Source organism: Homo sapiens, chromosome 18 (assembly GCF_000001405.40).
Source record: "Homo sapiens chromosome 18, GRCh38.p14 Primary Assembly".
Classification (NCBI taxonomy): domain Eukaryota; kingdom Metazoa; phylum Chordata; class Mammalia; order Primates; family Hominidae; genus Homo; species Homo sapiens.
Genome location: NC_000018.10, coordinates 31,677,402 through 31,699,339, shown reverse-complemented (window position 1 = coordinate 31,699,339; position 21,938 = coordinate 31,677,402). Strand labels below are relative to the sequence as shown.

Genomic DNA, 21,938 nt, shown 5'->3' with positions numbered 1-21,938 from the left:
GATCATACCATTGCACTCCAGCCTGGGCAACAGGACAAGAATCTGTCTCAAAAAAAAAAAAAAAAGAAAGAAAGAAATATCTGTCTATTGCCTTTATTCTAAGCAACGATATGTGTGGGTATAAAATTTTTACATGATGTTTTCTTTCCCTGATGACTACTTCTGAAAATTATTGTAGAATTCAATGTTCCTGTAGAGAAGTCTGAGCCGTTAAAGCCAGAAAAGAATTCCTTTTTCTTTCTTTCTTTTTTTTTTTTTTTGAGACAGAGTCTTGCTCTGTCACCCAGGCTGGCTCTGTCACCCAGGCTGCAGTGGTGCCATTTCAGCTCACTGCAACCTCCACTTCCCTGGTTCAAGTGATTCTTGTGCCTCAGCCTCCCAAGTAGCTGACACCACAGGCGTGCACCACACCTGGCTAATTTTTGTATTTTAATAGAGACAGGGTTTCGCCATGTTGGCCAGGCTGGTCTCAAACTCCTGACCTCAGGTGATCCACCCACCTTGGCCTCCCAAAGTGCTGGGCTTTACAGGCATGAGTCACTGTGCCCGGCCTTACTTTTTCTTTTTAATGAGCTGACCTTTTTTTGCTTGGATGCCCTTAAGATGCTTTCCTTTCTGCTATTTACTGAGTATACTGGTTAGTGGTCATCAATCTATATTAATTTTTTATTGGTACATGTTGTGTTTTTTCCTTTTTTTTTTTTCTTTTGAGATAGAGTCTTGCTTTGTTGCCCAGGCTGGAGTGCAGTGGCACGATCTTGGCTCACTGCAATCTCCAACTTCTGGGTTCAAGAGATTCTCCTTCCTCAGCCTTCCTGTAGCTGGGATTACTGGTGTGCACCACCATGCCTGGCTAATTGTTTTGTATTTTTAGTAGAGACAGGGTTTCACTATGCTGTCCAGGCTGGTCTTGAACTCCTGACCTCAAGTGATCTGCCTGCTCGGCCTCCCAAAGTGAAGTGCTGTGATTACAGATGTGAGCCACTGTGACTGGCCAATGTTGTGTTCTTTGAGCCTGTTGATTTAAGATTTCAACTTCTTGTAAGATGGTAGACTGAGTATTTAAGAGGGAAGCCTCCTCTTGATAGGTCAAAACAAGGTCAAAAGGTCAAAAACAAGAAGAGAAAAGTAAGGCAATAATTGAATTAAATATACAGCTGAGAATCTAACACAGAATGAAGCATATAGAGATGAAGAGATGGAAAATTAAAAGAGAAGGCAAAAGACAGGCAGAGAATGGGAAGATCCAACATATGCCAAATAGAATCCCTGAAGGAGCCTATAGAGAGAATGAGGGGAAAGCAATAGTCAGAGGACTAATGGCTGAGAACTTTCCAGACTTTAAGAAAGACATCATAACACTGAGTTTCTACCAGGATAAATGAAAACACATTATTGAGAAACAAGATATTGAAACCACAGAACATCAGAAAAAAAACTGTAATAGTGATAGAAAATTATCTACAAACGAATGATAATTAGACAAATAGCAGCCATAGATACCATAAGACAAATAAATAATATCTTCAAAGGTTGGGGAAAAAAACCCATCAACCTACATTTCTATACCAAGCTAACAATGTATAACAGTGAAAAGGAGGCTTAGCGTGACTAACTCCATTTTGTTCCTAGCCCCCTCATCCATGTGATATTTTTAGGTTAACTGCTTTTTCTTTCTTCTGCACATAGGCCAAGCTAACTATGGGAGGAATTTAGTTTGTAGTTTAACTTTAAAGCAAGGATGATAATAGTTCCCCCTAAACTAACCCGGAGAGATAACGAGAGTGTACACACAAGTAACAATAAGTAACAATGTTATGTTAAAGACTTCTAGGAGCAAGGACAAAGGACAGAGTTTCTCAACCCACCCCCGACCCTCGCTGCCACCCAGATGTCTGTGATCACTGGTCACCTCTGTACCTCAACCCCCTCCCTCTTCCCCCTTCCTCTAACATTAAAGAAGTCTGAAATTTCTATTAACTCATGATGGTTCTTTAGGACATTAGTCTGCCTGCCATCTTCTCCATTTGCTGGCTCTCTGTCTCTCTCTCTCTCTCTTTTTTTCAGGGTGGGGGAGACAGGGTCTCACTCCATTGCCCAGTCTGGAATGCAGGGGCACAATCTCAGCCATCCTCTACCTACCAAGCTCAGGTGATCCTCCCACCTCAGCCTTCTGAGTAGTTGGGACTGCAGGTGCACACCACCATGCCCAGCTAATTTTTGTATTTTTTAGTAGAGATGGGATTTTGCCATGCTGCCCAGGATGGTCTCTAACTCCTGGCGTCAAGTGATCCACTTGCCTCAGCTTCCTTAAGTGTTTGTTGGGATTACAGGTGTGAGCCACCGCGCCTGGCCTAGCTGGCTCTCTTAAAGTCACTTGCCTTGCCACAACACTTTGTCTCTCAACTAATTGGCTATTGTGCTGTGAGTGGTACGAGCTTGGACTCAACTACACAATCATTAGTAGTGAGGGCAAAATAAAGACACATTTCTGCGTTAAATGACTCAGGGTTTAATATCCACAGACCTTTACTATTAGAACTATAAAGGCTATACTGCAGGAAGGAAGAAAATAAGCCCACATGAAGCAACAGATCTAAAATGCCATAGAGAGAAGAGAAATGGGTAAAACCTCTTAGAAAAATCTACCTATTACTCCTGAAAGCAATTTGATGGTGTTTAAAACAAATTGAAATGAAATAGTAGGCATGGCATGTTATATGGAATGGAGACTATTTGGAGAGAAGCTAAATTGTTCTATATCTTTGGTTGAGAAACAGACACCAATAATTTTAGAACTACTTAAAAATAATAAAAATTTACACATTAAAAATTTGAAGATTATCAATAAAATAATAGAATGTAGAAAAGTGAAAAAGAAGAAAAGGCAATGAAGTAAAACTTGATAAATCAAAGGCAAGACTTGATAGGAATAAAATAAGCCAAGAGAATCTAAATGGAATGGAGGGCCTCCTTCTTTTTAGTTTAATTGTATTTTTGAACTTTTTTCTATTGCATTTGTTTTCTTCTTCAGCAATGCCAAATACGCGTATGATGGATCATGTTACCTGTCTTCCATATTTATTTTTTCTCTATCATTTTACTTTGCTCAATTATCTCAAGCCTGCTATCTCACATCTAATTGTGTTTTCAGCAACATCTGTTACCTTTTTATGTCTGCTCTCCATGTGCCCATGATTTTTGTGATGATATTGTTCTTCTCTTTGCATCAGCTTTTGTGAACCCTTCTAACTCTCTCTCCATGTTTCCCAGGGATTGTGTGTCTGTGTGTGTGTAAAATTCATTTGAAGTTTTAAAAAAATCGATTTCAATCTCATTCTTGATATAATCTTTCTGGCATTTGGCTATCTACCTTTCATATGTCATGTTCTTTTTCTTCCTCTTCTTTTTGTGTCTTATCCTGGCTCTTTCTTGGTTATTTCTGCTTCGAATGGAGTTATTCCTGGTCTATTTGGAGGTATGGGCCAGGGAGTGTACCTGAGGAGCAGCTGGATTACAAGATGTTGCCTGTGAAAGTTTTCTCACTGACATTTTGCCTTGTGGCATGATTCTAACCTGGTTGGAAGAAGTTGCACTATTTTTTCCATGAATCTCCATATGACATAGTTTTCTAGTGTGTTTACCTTTGCCTTAGCTTTCACTACTCTTCAGATTACAAAAATTGGCAGCTCAGGGCTGTAAGATGATCCAAGGTTTTGCCTCTCATTGCACATCAGTAGCTTGCTTCTTACAGAAATGTTGTGTCTATGCATTGTTGGTTGAAAACTTCTTCCCTTCCCGCATGGTCAAAAGAGGTCAGAGAGGTCCAGGCAGCCTAGATATGGCCTCTCCTACAGGAGGCAGTGGCTGTTTTGCCTCTCGGGGGTTCCACTACAAAGAATTCTGCTGTGTCCCAAGTGTACTGAGCAGGAATCTTCATCTGGCATTCTCCCTGACTGTGGGGACAATATTCCCAGGCTTTCTTCATACATAATTATTCAGGATTTTAGGCATTTTCTGGCATCTTTGAAGATTTTTTTTTTTTTTTAATTTCAGGGAGGAGAAGTGGCAGAACTATTTTTATTTCATTAGTTTAAACTGGAAACCACCTTCTGCCAGTCCCTCCTTTAACAAGTTTTCCTCCTGCTACCCGTGTAATACTTTTGTTCTAGCCTATTTTCTCTGTGGCAGTGGGAAATTTTTTTTCTCAAAGATAGGAAAAAAGTCAGTCCTGCTTTATTTTAATGATTTGTACTTCATGGCATTAATATTCCTTCTCCGTAGTATAGCATGATTCTTAAGAATTATTATACGATGAAGTCTCCTAGAATATTTTAATGTCATTTTATAGACAGGGGTCAGGAACTCAATCAAGAATGTTTAAAATGAAATATCTATGTATTAATCACTATGCAATTCATATTTCTAAAATTATTCTACCATTAACAGTTTAAAGACAAATAGGGTCTGGGATAACTAGTATGTGAAATGTAGATGGATAAAATTTGAGTTGTTTTGTGCTCTTGGTTTCACAGTTACACACTTTTTTTTGAAATTTCATGTTGGTAAAGTGATATTTCAGTTGAAAATTTTCTATCATATAGCAAAAACAGGGAACATTTCTATTGAAAGAAGTTATTTTAAGACAACTTATATCAGGACTACAACCTAAGTCAATTATAACTCAGTAATAATGGCCAGTTGCTGCAAATATCCTGTGAACAAAAGTCCTACAGGCACTTTTCGTTCTTTATAGCAAAGGCCTTTGACTGAAGTCACTTCATGGCCTCTCCTTGGTATACTGGCTGTTTCAACTAACTGCAGAGTTTAGAGAGACTCTGAGCGATTGTTCTTTATCTAGTGCTCCATTGTCCTGAAGAGGTTGGTGTGTTTAAAGATATTCAGTCTTGCTTGGGACACATTTGTGTTCTGGGTAAGGAAAGAAGTGTTGTGCTTAATGCAAGCAGTAGTACTTCCACCTACAAAGGCAAGTCTTTTTTATATGTACTGATCTCTGTTTCAGACTCTAGCAGACTAGTCTGGAAGCTCTTCCTGTTTACATCTTCCTGAAGGAAAGACTTCATTTATTTATAGATAGATTAATCTTCTTTCTCAGGCATATTATTCATGCCTAGTCAGGTGAAGAATATTGGAAACATAATTGGTCGTGATTGTAAATATTGTTATGGTAAGGGTATTGTCTCTTGCCATGGAGGCATGCTTACTGTCTTGCCTTGACCTATTTTAAGATAAGTGATTATAATTCTCTAGCTTGGTTACTCTCCAACATTCATGGTTACATTTAGGAAGAATTAACATCTTTATAGTATTGAATTTCCTATCCTTTTCATTACTTATTTATGTATTTTCTTTTTTTAAGATAGAGCCTCACTCTGTCTCCCAGGCTGGAGTGGCATGATCATGGCTCACTGCAGCCTCAACCTCCCAGGCTCAAGTGACCCTCCCACCTCAGCCTCCTGAGTAGCTGGGACTACAGGCGTGTACTGCCATGCCTGGGCAATTTTTGCATTTTTTATAGAGATGGAGTCCCACTATATTGCCCAGGCTGGTCTTGAACTCCTGGGCTCAAGCAATCCTCCCACCTCAGCCTCCCAAAGTGCTAGGATTACAAGCATAAGTCACTGTACCCAGCCAGCCCTTTACATTTTCAAGCCTTCTTTTTTGTCTTCACTTTGTTGAGTTCTTTCTTCACATTAGTTTTGTATATTTCCTTTTCAGTTTATTTATAGTATTATGTATATTTTGTTGCTACTGCACTTAGGATCTTTTGGTTATTATTATATGATCTCATGTTAACATTTGCATAAAGTAAGCTATAATATTTTATTAATTTTGTAATATAATTAGGTATATTATATCTCCCATTTGCTGTTTGTCTTTATGATATTTTAAAAAGTAGAATATGCCATATGTGTAACAGCTATTTACATATTCATCTATGACATTCTGTTAATAGGACTTTTCTCCATGCACTGAGTGCCATCATATGTTCCACCAGTGATGTACCGGTGTACTTGTGTACTGGTGTACACAAGCAATAAACAAAGGCCAAACCATCCTGAGCTGAGTGGTTCCACAATGTGTGTTGTGTTCTCGTGTTCTCTGCCTCAGCCTCTCCTTCCAGTCTTGAGTTCTAGTAAATCATTTTTATATGCATTGACTTCCAAAGTTAAGGTACAAACAAGGCAGAGAATCAGGAGGTAGCTGAGGACACACGTTTTCTGCCAACTTGTGATGCTTTTAAGGAAATATTTGAGGAAGCAGAGAATAAAGAAAATTAGGAGATTGGTAGAAGTCTTTGACATTTTGAAGGACATTCTAAACATTGCTAAAAACTGAGGATGAAGCAATCACTTAAGTACAATACCTATATTACATCTCCATAGAAACTACAGGACCCCATATAAGTAAGTTCAGTTAGAGCCCTAACATCTAGGAATATATCCCCACGCTAAACTGGGTAAGTGTGCATATGTTTCTTGATTGATTCTGTATCAATCTCTTCTGTTAGTTCTAATGAGTTTTCTAGTGAATTATTTTTGGGGGTAAGAGCATAAACTACAAATAACAATAATTTTTATAACTTTCTTTCCCTTACTTTTACCTCTTAATTTTCTCATCCATATGCGTTAGCTAATTCTTACCAATCATGTCTTTTTTTGTTATTTGAATGGAGATGATTCTACATTAATCATGTTGATGTAACTTGTTTAAGATAGCTCTTTACAAAATAAGAACACATCCTTTTATCCCTATTTTATGAAGTTTTAATATCAGAAATTGTTTAATCATATCAAATGCTTCCTAGCCTCTATAAAAGACATTGTAAGCCAAAAGTGTATGAAAATTGCTCAATCCCATTAGCTCTTAGAAAGGTGCAAATCAAAACCAAAATGAGACATCACTACATTCTACCTGAAATGGTAACAGTAAAATCGGGTTGACTATAGGAAGTACTGAAGAGAATGCGAGCAACTTGAACTTTTAAATGCTGCTGGTGGGAGCATAAATTGGTAAAACCAGTTTGGGAAAGTGTTTGCCAGCATCTCTTAAATCTGAGTAGTCACACATCATAAAATCTACAATTTTGACTACTAAATATATAACCAACAGAAATGCATGCACATGTGCATATGTTTACGGTAGTTCAATTTATTGTTGACTCAAATTGAAAAGCAATGTTCATTAACAAATAATAGGATAATAGATATTTAGAATATTATACAATTATTCTAAAAAAGAAAAGATACTGTATTTTTTTCTTTGACCTAATATGTTGAATTATGTTAATAATTTGCTTAATGTTGCCAGGTGCTTCCATTTCTAGTTGTTCCTTATTGGTCATGGCAAATTGGTATTATTAATACTTTGCTGACTGAAAAGGTCAGTTTCTTTCTCTCTTTTGAATAGCTCTGATATACCTAAACTTCTTATTTTTTACAGTAACTTAAATCATTCCTGTGACCATAAACTTGTGGATTTTAGCTTAAGAGAGGACGTTGCTAGTCCAGAATTCCTGTTTCAGACACAGAAACATTTCAGACACAGAAATACTGAAATCCTTTATCAAATTTACCTGAATCCTATATCTTAATTCATTATTAACCCATTAAAGCTTAGAAACTATTTTCCCCCCAGAATGATTTAGTCATTAAAAGAACAGACTGAGAAAATCTTATGAGCCTTATGACATTAAATATGATAATAAATGAATAGAAAATGGTCTAGAAATATTCTTCATTAAAAACTATACTCTGTATCATAATTACATTTCTTGAATTGCTTCTGTTGGCTACAGGTATAAGATTCTTGATATGATAAAAGGGTACTTTCATAGTATACTATCTTTCATCTATATATTTTATCTTTTGCTTTTGTGAGTCATTCGCCTATGAAGATGGCTCTTTTGATAATATGCTCTGGATGAGTTAAGGTGAACTAACTTGTATTCCATTACACAAAACCCAGAGCAATATATATATATATATATATATATATATATATATATATATATATATATATATATGTAAAATTATGTAAGAGGTTAAGACTATGTTAATCCACTGATCCAATAATTATTTATTGCCCTGTTTTTGTACTAGGTTCTAGGATAGTAACACATATCATCAAAATAGAATCATGTTCAGAAAATGACTTTTTAAAAGATTTTACTTTAAGTTCTGGGATACATGTGTAGAACATGCAGGTATACATAGGTATTCATGTGCCATGGTGGTTTGCTGTACCTATCAACCCGTCATCTAGGTTTTAAGCCCCATATGCATTAGGTATTTGTCCTAATGCTCTCCCTCCCCTTGCCCCCCACCCCACTGACAGGCTCCGGTGTGTGGTGTTCCCCTCCCTGTGTTCTCACTGTTCACCTCCCACTTTGAGTGAGAACATGCGGTGTTTGGTTTTCTGTTCCTGTGTTAGTTTGCTGAGAATGATGGCTTCCAGCTTCATCCATGACCCTGAAAAGGACATGAGCTCATTCTTTTTTATGGCTATGTAGTAAGAAAATGACTTTTTAAAACATTAAATGACTGGGGGCTGGGCATGGTGGCTCACACCTGTAATCCTAGCACTTTGGGAGGCCAAGGCAGGCAGATCACCTAAGGTCAGGAGTTTGAGACCAGCCTGACCAACATGGTGAAACCCCGTCTCTACTAAAAATACAAAAATTAACTGGGTGTGGTGGTGGGTGCCTGTAATCCCAGCTACTTGGGAGGCTGAGGCCAGCAGAAGCGCTTGAACCCAGGAGGCGGAGGTTAGAGTGAGCCAAGATAGTGACATTGTACTCCAGCCTGTGCGACAAGAGTGAAATTCTGTCTCAAAAGCAAAACAAAACAAAACAAAACAAAAACAACAAAATATTAAATGACTGCAGGGGTTGGGCATGGTGGCTTACACCTGTAATCCCTGCACTTTGGGAGGCTGAGGCAGGCGGATCACCTGAGGTCAGGAGTTTGAGAGCAGCTTGGCCAACATGGTGAAAACCTGTCTCTACTAAAAATAAAAAATTTGACAGGCATGGTGGTGGGCACCTGTAATCCCAGCTACTCGGGAGGCTGAGGCAGGAGGATTGCTTGAACCCAGGAGGCGTAAATTGCAGTGTGCCAAGAGATCATGCCACTGCACTCCAGCCTGGACAACAGAGCGAGAGTCTGTCTCAATAAAACAGACAAACAAAAAACTCCCAAAACATTAAATGACTGAAGGTAGGCTATTTTGGCCATAATAAGTTAATTCTTTTGAACTGTGTCAAGTAATAGTTCTTTTATCCTTTTAATAAAGATGCACGTGTCCACAAGAAAGCTATCTCTCGAGATTCTCAGGAGTAACACTGCGTAGAATTCAAGGAAGATCTAGTATTGTGGATATTGTTTTGTCTGTTCAGTAGCCAAGTTTACGAACTTTCTCTCTAGGGTTGAGTTGCCCAGCTGGTATGCACAATACCTAAGGTGCCCTGTGTGTCTGGGTTACATAGGTGCCAAGACTGATTTCCCTCAACCTTCAGGGGGCTGCCTGGGACCCACACAGCTTAAGCCTCAAGCTGGTGAAGGTGGCCTCTTTTTTTCTTTTTTTCTTGCTCTGTCGCTCAGGATGGAGTGCGGTGGTGTGATCTCGGCTCACTGCAACCTCCGTCTCCCGGGTTCAAGCAATTCTCCTGCCTCAGCCTCCCTAGTAGCTGGGACTACAGGTGTGCGCCACCATGCCCAGCTAATTTTTTATATTTCTGGTAGAGATGGGGTTTCACCATATTGGCCAGGCTGGTCTTGAACTCCTGATCTCGTGATCCACCCGCCTTGGTCTCCCAAAGTGCTGGGATTACAGGCATGAACCATTGCGCCCGGCCCAGCCTCTTCTATTTACCCTGGTGAATGCTTAAGTATCATCCCTTACCATGGAAGGCACTGGGCACCATGTTCTGTGACTGGACTCTATCAATCTTTCATCTTTGCTTCTCCTTGTCTGCCCTCCCACCTTCCACCCCCATAGTTTTCTGAACAAATTCTCATTTCTGTTGGGCTGGCTTCTTTTTCCAGTCGGCCTAGGATTTGCTGGCCTTGAGTCCAGTCAGTGGCTATTGTTTGGCAGCTCAGGTTCCCTGTAAGGCAAAACCAGCAATCTACTGAATAAACCTAGCATTAAGCTGAGAAAAAGAATGAATAAAGCTAACACCATCCATTAATTTTCTCGTTTTGACTTACCAACTGATGACAAGCAAGGACTAGATAGTAGTCGGGCCTTCACTTTATGTACCAGTTTTTCCCCTGTCAGTGTACCATGTAGTACACTTTATATAGTTTCTTGGCACAGATGTTTAAGGCAAAATTGGTAAAGAAAGTTTGGAAGATGGATTACATATATTTATTTCTAAAAAATGAAAAAAATACATGAAGAAAACACTTACCCTGATAGGCAAAATAATGTGTGTGAAGATAAGAGCTGGTGTGGTTTGTAGTAAGGGCACTGAAGTAGGCTGATAACATCTGGGCTTTCTTCCCAGCTCTGCTACCTTTATACTGTGTGACCTCAGGCCCGGTATTTTACCTCCCGAGCTTTGGCTTCCTCATCTCAGAAGGACATAATAATACTTGCCATACCAACCCCAAAGGGATGTTGTGAAAATGATATCAAAGTGGTTGGAATGCTTGAAAATGCTAGGACATTTGCATGATGTGAAAGAATGATCTTGGATCTAAGATCAAAGAGTTCAGGCACTTTGAGATTAGTAAGAAATTTGGGTCAAATGCTGAAGTAGGGCTGCTACCACTACAGTGGTTTTCTTTTAAAATTTTAACTACAATACAGAATTATCATACAGTTCTATATTATTTCATATATATAGAATTATTAAAATTTGGCTTTAAAGTGATCATATTTGTTCTGAAATGTAAGACATTTAAAATTTCTTTTATATAATCTAAATAAGATACAGGGACCAATATCTTTTTTCTCACCAGAGATCTGATCATATTCACAATACAAATTTTTGAGAAGTATCTGTACCACAACATTTTGGAATTACATATGTGTGTGTGTATATATATATATGTATATATATATACACTCAATTATATGTATATAAATATTCCATTTTATGAATCATGCCAATGTCTTTTATATGATCTACAATTATATAAATACAAATTCAATTGTCTAAGCATAATTCATCAACCCAATAATTTTCTTTAGCTGAGTCTCAGATGCTGAGACTATGCATTTAAACAGATATAATTACTATTTTTAATCAGTGATTGTAACATGAAGATCTGAATCTTTAGCTACCATAAAAGAGATTCTATACACTATTTTCTTTCATTTCTTCCCCCCAATTCACTGAAAAAAATTAGATATTTTTATTTTACCATGCTCACAAGCAAATTCAAAACACAGTGTATATTGTTCATCCTCACTCAGTCAGCACAGACTAAGTAAAATATCATCCATCTCATTAACAAGTACATTTTTCTTTTTTCAGTTGCAATCTGTGTATACTTCTTATTAATACAACTAGAAAACCATTAATTATGATTTAATTTATTCAGTTTGATACCCAAATATTTAAGAGCACGGTGTCCCTAGTGGACAGAAAATAATAAAAGGAATACTTGGTGGTAATAAACTTAGAACAAAGCCATTAAATAAAATTTATTTCTGTCTTACTGTTGTAAGTTATGTCTCACTATTACAGGATTAAGATCTTTTTAATGGCATTAAAAAATAGACTTTTAGATTTCTGCAAGGTCATTCCTCTGTTATGGGGCTTACTTGGCTCCTGAGGAAATATCAGTTGATATTGTGGGTTTGGAAAGGCTCAGTTAGCATTTCCTGTGCACTGAGTATTTAATCTATCTCTGTTTTAAACATGAGCTGAGACCCTGAGGCATCCCTCAGACTATGAGAGACAGACTTAATGGGTGACCCACTAGGAAATTTGGTGTTTAAGCAGAAAGAGACAACCATCATTTGTTACTGTGGACAGAGAGTGACTGCAAGGAGAGATTTCTAAAAATATATTTTACAAATACTCGAATGGTGCTTACCATGTACCAGCCTCTCCCATGCTCTTTACAGGCATTAATTCATTTAATTTAATCCTCACAACAATGGCTGCACCGACTAGGCTTGTTTTCTGGTACAACAGATAAAAGTCTACTCCTGGGGAGAGCTAATCAGTCTTAACAAGTACCGTGGGGGACACTTGCCGAACAAGAGAAATCAAGAGATAGGGTTAAAATTAGGGGAGAAACCGATGGCAGTCATCTATGCCAGCTAGGTTCATCTGTACAGTCTTCAGATTTCTTATAGATGAATCATCAAATTCTATAATGTTACTACTTCTCTCTCAGTTTATAGTAAACTTTCCTTTGAAAAAGCCAACCTTGCCTGAGAAGAATGGTCTACCACTAGGTCAGCAAAGGTATGGAACTCTCTTTTGACTAGTGGTATGGTGGTATTAGCTTTGTAAACAACCAGTCTAACTGATGCAAATAAAGATAAATGAACAGTGGGATTGGAGAGGGGAAAATCACAATTTTTGCTTCCTCAGCATTCATGACTTCTTTGGCTTGCATAGATTTTGTTTTTCTTTATTTTACAAATGAGTTTCCTTTTAATGTTGTTCCACTTTGCATTTCAAATTTCCCTTAAGCATCTAAAAATGTTACAAAATAGTGTCATTACCTTTCAAATTAAACATCAAATTAGCCAGAGAAGTTGAGTTGTGAGTACTCCAACAAGCAAAATATTAAAAAATGAATTTCAACTTGGTGATCCCACCTAGTGAACTAATGGGATATAAGGAACCTCTTACGTCCCAGACACCATGCTTAGCATTATGCACAGTTATCCATTTAATCTCACAGCCTTGCAAGGGGGTATTATATCCACTGTTTGAGGGCGGAGAAAACAGGCTCACACAAAGTAGTAGCTTCCAGGGGTCTCACAGTTAATATTAATGAAAGGCTTGGGCTTATACATAGGTGTTTCAGGTTCCACATTGCAAAGCATTATCTCAGGGACGATCTATGGCATGCGCATCCCGATAAAAACGTACCAAATTTATTGGCTATCAACTACAGTTCCATCTGGAAATACTCAGCAAATAATGGCAGTAAGGCATCCCGCCACTTCCTGCATGATTAGTTGAAAAAGAAACACCTGCGCACACACATTTGAACAATGTGATACAGCTAAGGACCTGGACAGTCAGCTAGCAGGAAGAAACATTTGAACGAAGGGTAGACCACGGCCTAGGAGGTGGATGAAGACACCCGTCCGTTTGCCTACTGAAGCAAGATGGGGCTGAGGCGCTCAAGGGCCTATTGGCTGCCCAGAAGCCTTTGCAGCGCCGCCTGAATACAGCGAGGATGACCCAGGGTTCACCTTCAGCGTTGAAGGCAAGTCCTGGTATAAGGGACGCACATAGGTCCGCGCCACATCCTGACACTGTTTCCACAGGAAGTGCGGGATAGGAGGGGGGATTCATTAATCCAGGTCGGAAATACACCTTGTTCCTCGAGGATTTTGGAAGGAAATTCCACCCGCGAAGTCCCCTTTTGGAGATGCCCTTTTCCTTTCAGGTACAGCATCCTTCATTATGTACCCCCAGGGTACAATGTATCCGGGGCTCGCAACGCGTCCCTCAACCCCCAGCAGCGCGGTCACCGCGGGGTCCCCGGGCGGGCGGGGGCGGCGGTGACGCAGGAGGCGGTGGGGCCCCGGTGCGGCGGGCGCGGGGAGGGGGCTGCTGGGCGCGGGCCTATCAGGACGCGCGGTGTTTCGGGCGCGGGGAGGGCGGGGACCTCCAGGTTTCCTCGGGGCCCGGCGCAGCGCCGCCTGCCGAGTTCCGAGCGAGCGCGCGAAGCGCGCAGGGGTCTCGAGACGTTCCCGCCGGTCCCGGTTTTCCTCCGCGGCTCCCCCGCCCCTTCACGTCCGCCTCTTTCTCCAACCAGACGCGGCTCCGACGGCGCTCGGCCTCTGCTCTTCCGGCTCCCCGGCTCTGCCCGCAGCGCGCGTCGCCCGGTTGCTCTTCGCCTGGTGTCCGCGGGCCCGGCGGGGGCGCCTCACCCCGGGCGCGCGGCGGTAATGCCGCTGCCGCCCTTGCGGCCAGGCAGGCAGCTGGCGGCGGCCGGAGTCGGAGCGCGTTCGTCGCTGGCCGGGACGCCGCCCTGGCCTGTGCTCAGCTCCCGCGGCGGCCGCGGGGCGCCGGGGCCCGGCGCGGCATGAGGAGGCGGCTCGGTGCAGGCGAGCGCCCAGCTCCTCGGCCCCGAGGGCCCCCGCGGGCCCCCGCGCGTGGCGCGCGCTGGTTGCGGCCCCGGCGCCCACGCTAGCCCCGCGCAGGCAGGAGACGCCGCGGCCCGGAGTAGGAGGCGGCGCAGGGCCTGCCGAGCGGACGCGGGCGGCCCGGACCTTAAGCACGGGGCTTCGCGGCGGGACCCCGCCGGGCGCGGGCAGCGGAGCCGGGCGTGCTGCAGTTAGCTGCCCCTCTCCGCAGGGGCGCCGCGGCGCGCAGCCTGCGCCTCCTCCCACCTGCAGCCCCTCCTCCCGCCGCTGCTTGGCGGAGAAAACGCTCCTCCTCGCCCTTCCCCGGCTTTCTTCCGTCCTGCCGTCCCCGGGCCCCTAGCCCCCAGTCCCCTCTCCCCCCTCCACCTCTTGTCCCTCGGCCTCCGCGCCTCCCCTCCCCCGACTCTCTGGCCTCCCATTCATTCCGTCCGCTCCCTCCCATTTCCTCTTTTCCGCTCGGGCCCTCTCCCCAGAGCCTCCCCGCGCGGACCCCGCTGCAGTCTCGGGGTTCTCAGCACATTTATGGAAGTTTAGGGCCTGGACAGTGGCCCCGAGTCCGGCCTGAGAGCGCAGCCTGGGCTGCTGGCAGGGAAGAGGAAGATGTCTGTGCTCAGGCGGATGATGCGGGTTTCCAATCGCTCTCTCCTCGCCTTCATCTTCTTCTTCTCCCTCTCTTCGTCCTGTCTGTACTTCATCTATGTGGCCCCAGGCATCGGTAAGCACCGAGACACACCCTCGCTTCCCCTGGTCACACCACAGCCAGCGCAGGCTGTTATCCGATGTTACTTCTGGGATTTGGAAGCTGTTCAAACAGGGGCCCGCAGAAAAGCGTTTTGTTTTAAATGTTATTTCAGACGTGTCAAACTGCTTCAGGGCATGGCTTTGGTATGTGAGTTTTGTTAATGCATGCATTTTGTTAATGCATGTTTGTTAATAACGTAAAAGATTGCATTAAATAGACGTAGCAAAATTAGTGTGATGGCCCGGGATGCCCTAGTCGCTTTCTTGAGTGTTCATGACAGCTTTATCCATTTAATGTTAAGTCTTTAAGCCTAAACTGAGTGCTTAATCGTAGTTTTATTCAAACACTCTCGGGTATAATAACTGGTTGTAAAAATATGGAGGAGCCAGCAGCAGGGAATGTGATTGAGTCCAACAATGTGTGTTTTCTAGGGTCCTAGGTCGCTTTTTTAGAATGGGGTCAGTGGACCCCATTCTTTTTGTGCCATACTTGGGGAATTTTAAGGCGATGAGTTGTCTTGTAAAAACAATGCTCCATTATTTTAGTCTGCTTGGGTGTTATTTTCAAGGGTACGTTGCCTTTGCTACCTGTTAGGATGACTTCTGAGAAAATAGTGATTAAAATAACCGTTATCTAAGGGAACTTGTAGTTTAAAATGTTAACCGGTTTATCATTTTTTGGCCTTTGGTGCAAAATACACTTTTGTAAAACTGCTTGAATTAACTTCTTTATTAAATATCCGAATTCCTCGTCCCCCATTTGTTGAAAAGGAGCCAATGCGGCGTTAATTCTAGTGAATGAGAATTATGAACTTCACATGCATATTAAAATATGTCATATTTCCAAAACTTTTCTGAGTTTTTCCTGGCTATTACGTATTTAATGTTCAATTACTTAGTAACAGTGAGCATCTCCTCTCATTTCTCCTTACACACTGTGGTCGTTTGAGCCAGTGCTCTTTGTTCCGAGTTAGCTAAAAATGTAATGCCCCTTACAGAGTGAAAACACCTGCAGAATTTTCAGATGGAATGATCAGGGCATTGTCTTGAGTGTAGTAGATTATTGCAGTGAATTGCAGCAGGGAAGGAAGATGGAAACCTAATCCAGACTGCTTCATTTCTTAAAATTACTATGAGACTTTTTCTTTAATAATTAATTTTTGGATTCAGTGAGGTGTATAAACTCAGATGATGATGTTTAAGAAGAAATGCATTGTGAAACGTTGACGTATCCCAAAATAGAAGTTTTAGGGTAAAGTTTGAAGAATATTTTAACATTATTGCAGTTTTCCTTTAGGCCAGAAAAAACAAAAAACCTCACAAAAACCTACCCCTTGAAGCCTATAGTACAAATGACAGTGGTAGCTTAGTGGATTTGATATTATCTAGATACTCAACAAGAGCTTTCTTTATTTTTTGCCATTTTGGAGTCTTATAAATTAACTCTTCATTCTATAGCAATTTTTACTTTCTCATGTAACTCTTTAAAAGTTTGGACATCTTTGGGGTATGTTTTTTTACTAGGAATTTAACTTTGAAAGATTTTGGAGAAAGTTTTTTTCACACTTACATAACAATTTTCCCACTTTCTTAGTATTATGAGTAACATGTTAAAGTTATATTACTCAAAAAGCTAACCAAAGGAAATCAGAATTCTAGTCATCCCTTTTTTTTTAAAGTTAGTGCGTCAGTATATTATTTGTAGATTCTTAATTCAACTTGTGTGAAACACTAATAAATTTTCCTTATTTGAATGCTTAATGTTTGCCATAGAACGGTCACTGATATAATGTAAAAATGTTGGCACGTGTCTTGTAGGCAATTAGATTGATGTGGCTTAACCTACTCTGTTTTTGTAGGTCTTATAAATGATAATAAGTTATTAAAACCAGTTAGAAGAGTGCAAACCAAAAACTTACAAAATGCTGTGAAATTGTCAAGCTGAATCTGTTTCCAAAACCCTGTACCATTTAGCCAAAAAAAGCCTCCTTTTTAATCTTTTGTATCTTTAAGTATTGGGAAGCAGTTTTCCAAAATTCAGATTTTCGCTTGAAAGTTTGAATTTTATCATTGGCAACAAATACTGTCAGTTTTTCTTGAAGTGTCAGGCTCACTTTGCTCATTTTCGAGAAAATGTAGGTCAGATGCACAAGTTTAACCATAGTTTTTCAGTTGTTCTTTCAAGTAAAAATGATGTTCCATGAAAAATGTGGCTTGTTGAGTCCATACTGCAGCAATCAATCAATTGCACAAGTGCTTCAGATTTCTTATTTATGAGACATATCCAGAAGTAATTAGGTTCTTATAACTAGTTTTTATTCGATGTATGTGGATTTTTCTTGAAATAATAACTTCAAGAAAATAATTCATATTTTAGCCTGAATTACATCTTGGGGCAAAATGTGTTTATGACTAAAATGTATGTTGTAAGTACTTTTTATGTGCCCTAAAAAGCGTTTCAAATCTCCTCTGTTAAGAAATTCCTATTAATCCTACCATATCAACCTGTTTGGTAAACTTTAATTCTCTTTCCCTACTTGTTTTCTGTCCTGAGCCCTGTGTATGTCATGGGCTTTCTTCCCAGGTAGATCTTCTGTCATTTTAGTTCCTCTTCTTTGCCATCTTGAGCAGATACATCACACAGTTGTAGGCAGCGTAATCTGTTTAGTTTCCAGTGTTTTCAGATGTTCCTCTGAAATAGTCTATTTCTGGACTATTTGGGTCAACTACAGTGAGTTCCATAGAACTCAAAGCTCATTATTTTCAAGGAACCATTTTTCTTGAAGTGTCTAATGCATACAGGAAACACAGGGATAGTCTTTACATTATAAACCTTAGTACTCAGGGAAACTGGATGGCAGACACCTGCCCCATCACCACACCATAGGAAGTCCATGGACAGATTGCTGTAGCCCACCCCTAGAGGCCAGAGCCATAAATTATTTCTTATTCTGTGTCTACCTTTGTGCATGATTGCAAAGATGAGTGCAGTTTCTCTCCAAGGTTTTGACTTGGCTGGATTGAGAACAGAATTGCATTTAATAGGAAACCTTTATTAATATAACTTCCAATATAACGTAGTCATTTTCTTGCTGTCATATCAAAGATGAGCTGACTTACAAGTTCATTCAACAATAGGAGTTGTGCACCCAAGAGAGGCTGGACATTGAGGTATGGAAGATAGATGACTAAGGCTCATTTTCTTCCGTCATAGTACAATGGGCTGAGCCCCATAAAACTGCTGTAGTAAATCCTTGGAAGGCATGTGGTGGGAAGTGAGGGCTGGTTAAGGATTTCCAGAGGAGAAAGTGGTTGAAATGTAATGGATGAGATTTATCTGGACTGAGCAAAGGGATCCTAGTCAGAGGGAACAGCATGAGCAAAGCTTCTAGAAAATGGGAGTAGCTCCATCCAGCTACTGCTTAGGGCTTGGAGTGGCACATGGGCCAGGTTTTGAAAGGTCTCTGGGGCTCCAGTGTCCAGCCATGGTGTTCAGATGCTTGAGGTCTCTAAAATTCCTGGCAGAGAGAGACTGGTCTTTGTTCATACAGCTTTATCAAAGCTTCTGTGATTACAAAATAAATTGATAGTGCCTGTAATCAGTGGGGCTATATAATGGGAGGAGATTACATAACTTCCCTGGGAGTGGGGATTTCACTGTCCATTTGACTCACCAGAAGCCCTGACCTTTCCTAGACACACTGACGGGCTGTTTTGCTCTCTGGGTAGAGGTGAAATCTGGTTGGGCCACTTTGGTCTGACTTCCTCTGGGCCCTTGGAGGAATTATCTGGCTGAGTGCTTTGTTATTTGGGCCTCCCTGGGGTGTGTGCCCTGCTGGAAATGGTGGAGCTGATGGCGATGGGTAGTCAAAGTGTGGGGTCTATGTGCAAGCATGTATGTTGTGGGAGAGGTATCTTAGGTCCTTTCCTCAGAGTCCCTCTGGCATTTTGGCTGGGGTTCTTCCTGGGCTAGCACAGAAGGTAGCTAGTTAACCCTGCAGCTTTCTTATCATAGCCCTTTAGCCTCCTGGCCCTGGCAAGTGGGCCTGGCTGTGTTCTTTGGAGCTGTTAATAGTCTGCTTTGTTTCAAAGGTCTTTCAGTTTTATTCACCCAGTGCTCTGATCTGCATGGCCCATTTCAGGAGTTCGGATTTGGTATCCGAATATCATGGAGGGCCATGGTATTGGGCATCTCTTTTTTCTGGGCCTCCCTTACTGGCCACATGTCCCATGCTTTTTTTGTCCTGTGAGTAACAGGAAATGTCAGAAGTCTTGAAAGCGATGCAGTCCATTGTCTTAGAGTGACCCTTCTAGCATGAAGGATGGGTTATAGGGGGCAATGGCCAATAGAAGATTAGAACTGTCGAGGTTGGTAGTTCATCAGGGCAGAGTTGAATGGATGGGAATAGTAGGTTTGAAGAAACAGGAAGAGCTTTAACATGAGGTTTGGATTCTAGCTTAGACATTCAGGTAGCTATTAATAGGGAGTATAGAAAGTCACGTCTTTGGGGGGCTATTTTGCTTTTAGAGAAATTGAGTTGGGATCCCTGTGTGATATCCAGGAAGAATTAGTAGGTAGGCAGATGAAAGTAAGGGCGTGCTGCCCAGGAGAGAGATTTGATTGTCTTCATCATGTAGGTGAATGGTATTTATTTATCCTCCAACACATCTGAGTAATAAAACTCACTCCTTCAACTGGAAGTGACTCACTGTGTGACTTCCTCTGAAACATGGAATCACGGGTTAAATTGGAATACAGAGGAAGACCAAGTATAGTTTGAAAGTATCCGATGGGATTTGCTACCCTCCTTCTCACTCCCTAGCTTTGTTACAAGAGTCATTGGGTCCATTCCACACTCAAGAGATGAGAGATGAGTTAGAGATTGTTTCCACAGTCAGATTGCCATTCCTAAGTAGCATATGTGACTCAGCTATATCTCTTCAGTGTAAACTAATCCAAATCCCATGGCCTTGTGGGAAATTAGGCAATATTGAAGGGAAACTTGATTCATTGAAATCTGGCAATGCTAACTGCTATTTTTCACCTTAGCCTTCCTTTTACAAATACATTTGAAGTCTGTTAAACAATGTGGCAGAGTGAGGCAGAGGTGTGTTTTTTTCTGCAGCAGTGCTTATCATTACTGCCTTTAATGTTTATTAAAGATAAAAATAGCCATGTCTGTGATTACTTTCAGAAGAGAAACTTCTCACCTAGGTTTGTAGTGTCTGTGTGTAATAGGTATTCCAAACACTACGTGTAATTTGGTTGGGACTAAAATGCATTTTCCTTTTGAGGCAGTGTGGTACACAGTAGTTAATTTCCTAACCCGTCCTGTGGAAAGCCTGTTTCTCACAGGTTGTCCTGCAGGGCTTCTCAGGGCACTTGTCCTTCTGGGCCTCATCTCTGATGGTTCTAGCTGTGGCTTTTCCTCTCACCCTCAGAGCCCTTGCGTTTGCCCCCCTGTCCAAGGGCCCAAGGCCAGGGGAAACTTGGGCATAGAAGCATTGGTTTCTGGAGCCAGAGCTATGAGCAGAGCAGCCCCAAGAGCAAAATCCCAAAGAGAGCCCACCGCGTTGTCCATATTTGGAGATCCATGTCTTCCCTGCCACACCCCTGACCCCTTGCCAGTAGGGCTAGCCTTGTCTGTGAAATGAGAGAAGGAAGGACAGGCTCTGGAAGATGGCCACTTGCCGAAAGTGTCACACATCATTGTTGGAAGAGCTGAAATGTACACCTTAGGATTCCTGACTCATTCTACTGTGCCCGAGTTGAAGGAACTAATTATTTTTGCCCTGGACAATGGAAGATTTTGGGGAAATACAAGCTCTCTTTTCTTCAGTTTGAAGGAATACTGTATAGACGAGCGATGAAATTTTTTGGATAGCCTAAGTTAGCAGTGAGGGTAATTACAATGAGGCAGAGTTGAGGCTTATTGAAAAGAGAGAGAGAGGAAAAAAAAAGACCAGTCTTCTAACTGACCTGCAATCAGTGAAATAAGTGGCCTTATAAGTGCTCCTTTCCTTACACATTGTGAGGTGAGGGTAGATGACCGCCTCTTAAAGCTGTGATTACCCTGGAGAGGGTGCTTTGTTTGGGATACTGGACAGACCTCTTGGATTCCCTTAAACACTGTTACTCAGTGCTGTGTTTATACTGTGTGCTTAGACTCCGCAGCACCCTGGCTTACCTTGCAAAAGGGCAGACCTGCTCCTCTACCTGTCCGCCACCCACACTGTCTTTTGTGACTCCTTTTCCCTTTCAAGCCTGCCTTTCATGTTTGTCTTAAGTAGAAATGTGGAGGTAGGAGGGGAGGCTGAGGTGAGACATGTGTGAGGAGTGATTTTTCTAGAGCTTGGGTTTCCTAGGTCGCCATTGGGAGCTCCTCAGACCTGTATGTTTGCAACATTCTTTTTCTAGTCCATTTTCTTGGCCGCCTTGGACCAAGCTGGCTTTTGTCACCACTGCCTGAGCCTGCGGTTTGCCAGCCTAAGCTGGCTGTCCCCACCTCTTTCCCTTCCTCTTTTCTCCTTTCCCCTTGTCCCTCTGAATCTGTTTCGTGTTTTCTTTTTAATTCCTGAAGGACACGGTGATTTAATATTTAAAAGATGTTTTCATTCAAATTCTGCCTTTTGTCAGGATAATAAAGAGAATAATATACAAGTAATACAGTGATTCAGGTTGAAGATCGATTCAAGTGAAGATTGAGAGTAGGTTTTCTGAGGATACCCATAATGCCTTTAACATGCCTTTGGAAAATTAAGCATTTACTCCAGTTATAATGAGATATTTTTACCTCATATCTTGGGCCCACTGGAAACTTTCAGGTGGCACTCAATTCTGTTTTTCTTCAGCATTTACATCCTGTATTAGGCCAGTTTGATTT

At 41.5% G+C, this 21,938-nt stretch overlaps 1 protein-coding gene across 9 annotated transcripts in view, besides 2 other annotated features; it reads left to right on the top strand.

Annotated features, from left to right (window-relative positions):
* B4GALT6 (beta-1,4-galactosyltransferase 6) overlaps positions 1-21,938 on the top strand; it is a 102,396-nt gene that overhangs the window by 25,302 nt on the left and 55,156 nt on the right. For 5 of the 9 annotated variants that reach the window (XM_017026091.2, NM_001330570.3, XM_006722578.4 and 2 more), the window contains exon 1: positions 14,759-15,028. The exons of 1 other annotated variant lie outside the window; for it this stretch is intronic. In XM_017026091.2, the coding sequence (XP_016881580.1) occupies positions 15,011-15,028 (18 nt within the window). In that variant the 5' untranslated portion in view covers positions 14,759-15,010. Of the gene's footprint in view, positions 1-13,296; positions 13,611-14,758; positions 15,029-21,938 lie in introns of those variants that run through there. 3 more of the 9 variants (XM_047437943.1, NM_001378110.1, NM_001378109.1) reach the window with 1 other exon arrangement.
* Positions 13,623-14,662: a silencer, noted in NCBI's record as "silent region_9385". NCBI's record gives its function as "represses an Ori minimal core promoter by ATAC-STARR-seq in GM12878 lymphoblastoid cells {active_cell/tissue: GM12878}" and the evidence as "EXISTENCE:reporter gene assay evidence [ECO:0000049][PMID:35858748]".
* Positions 17,859-18,068: an enhancer, noted in NCBI's record as "active region_13205". NCBI's record gives its function as "activates an Ori minimal core promoter by ATAC-STARR-seq in GM12878 lymphoblastoid cells {active_cell/tissue: GM12878}" and the evidence as "EXISTENCE:reporter gene assay evidence [ECO:0000049][PMID:35858748]".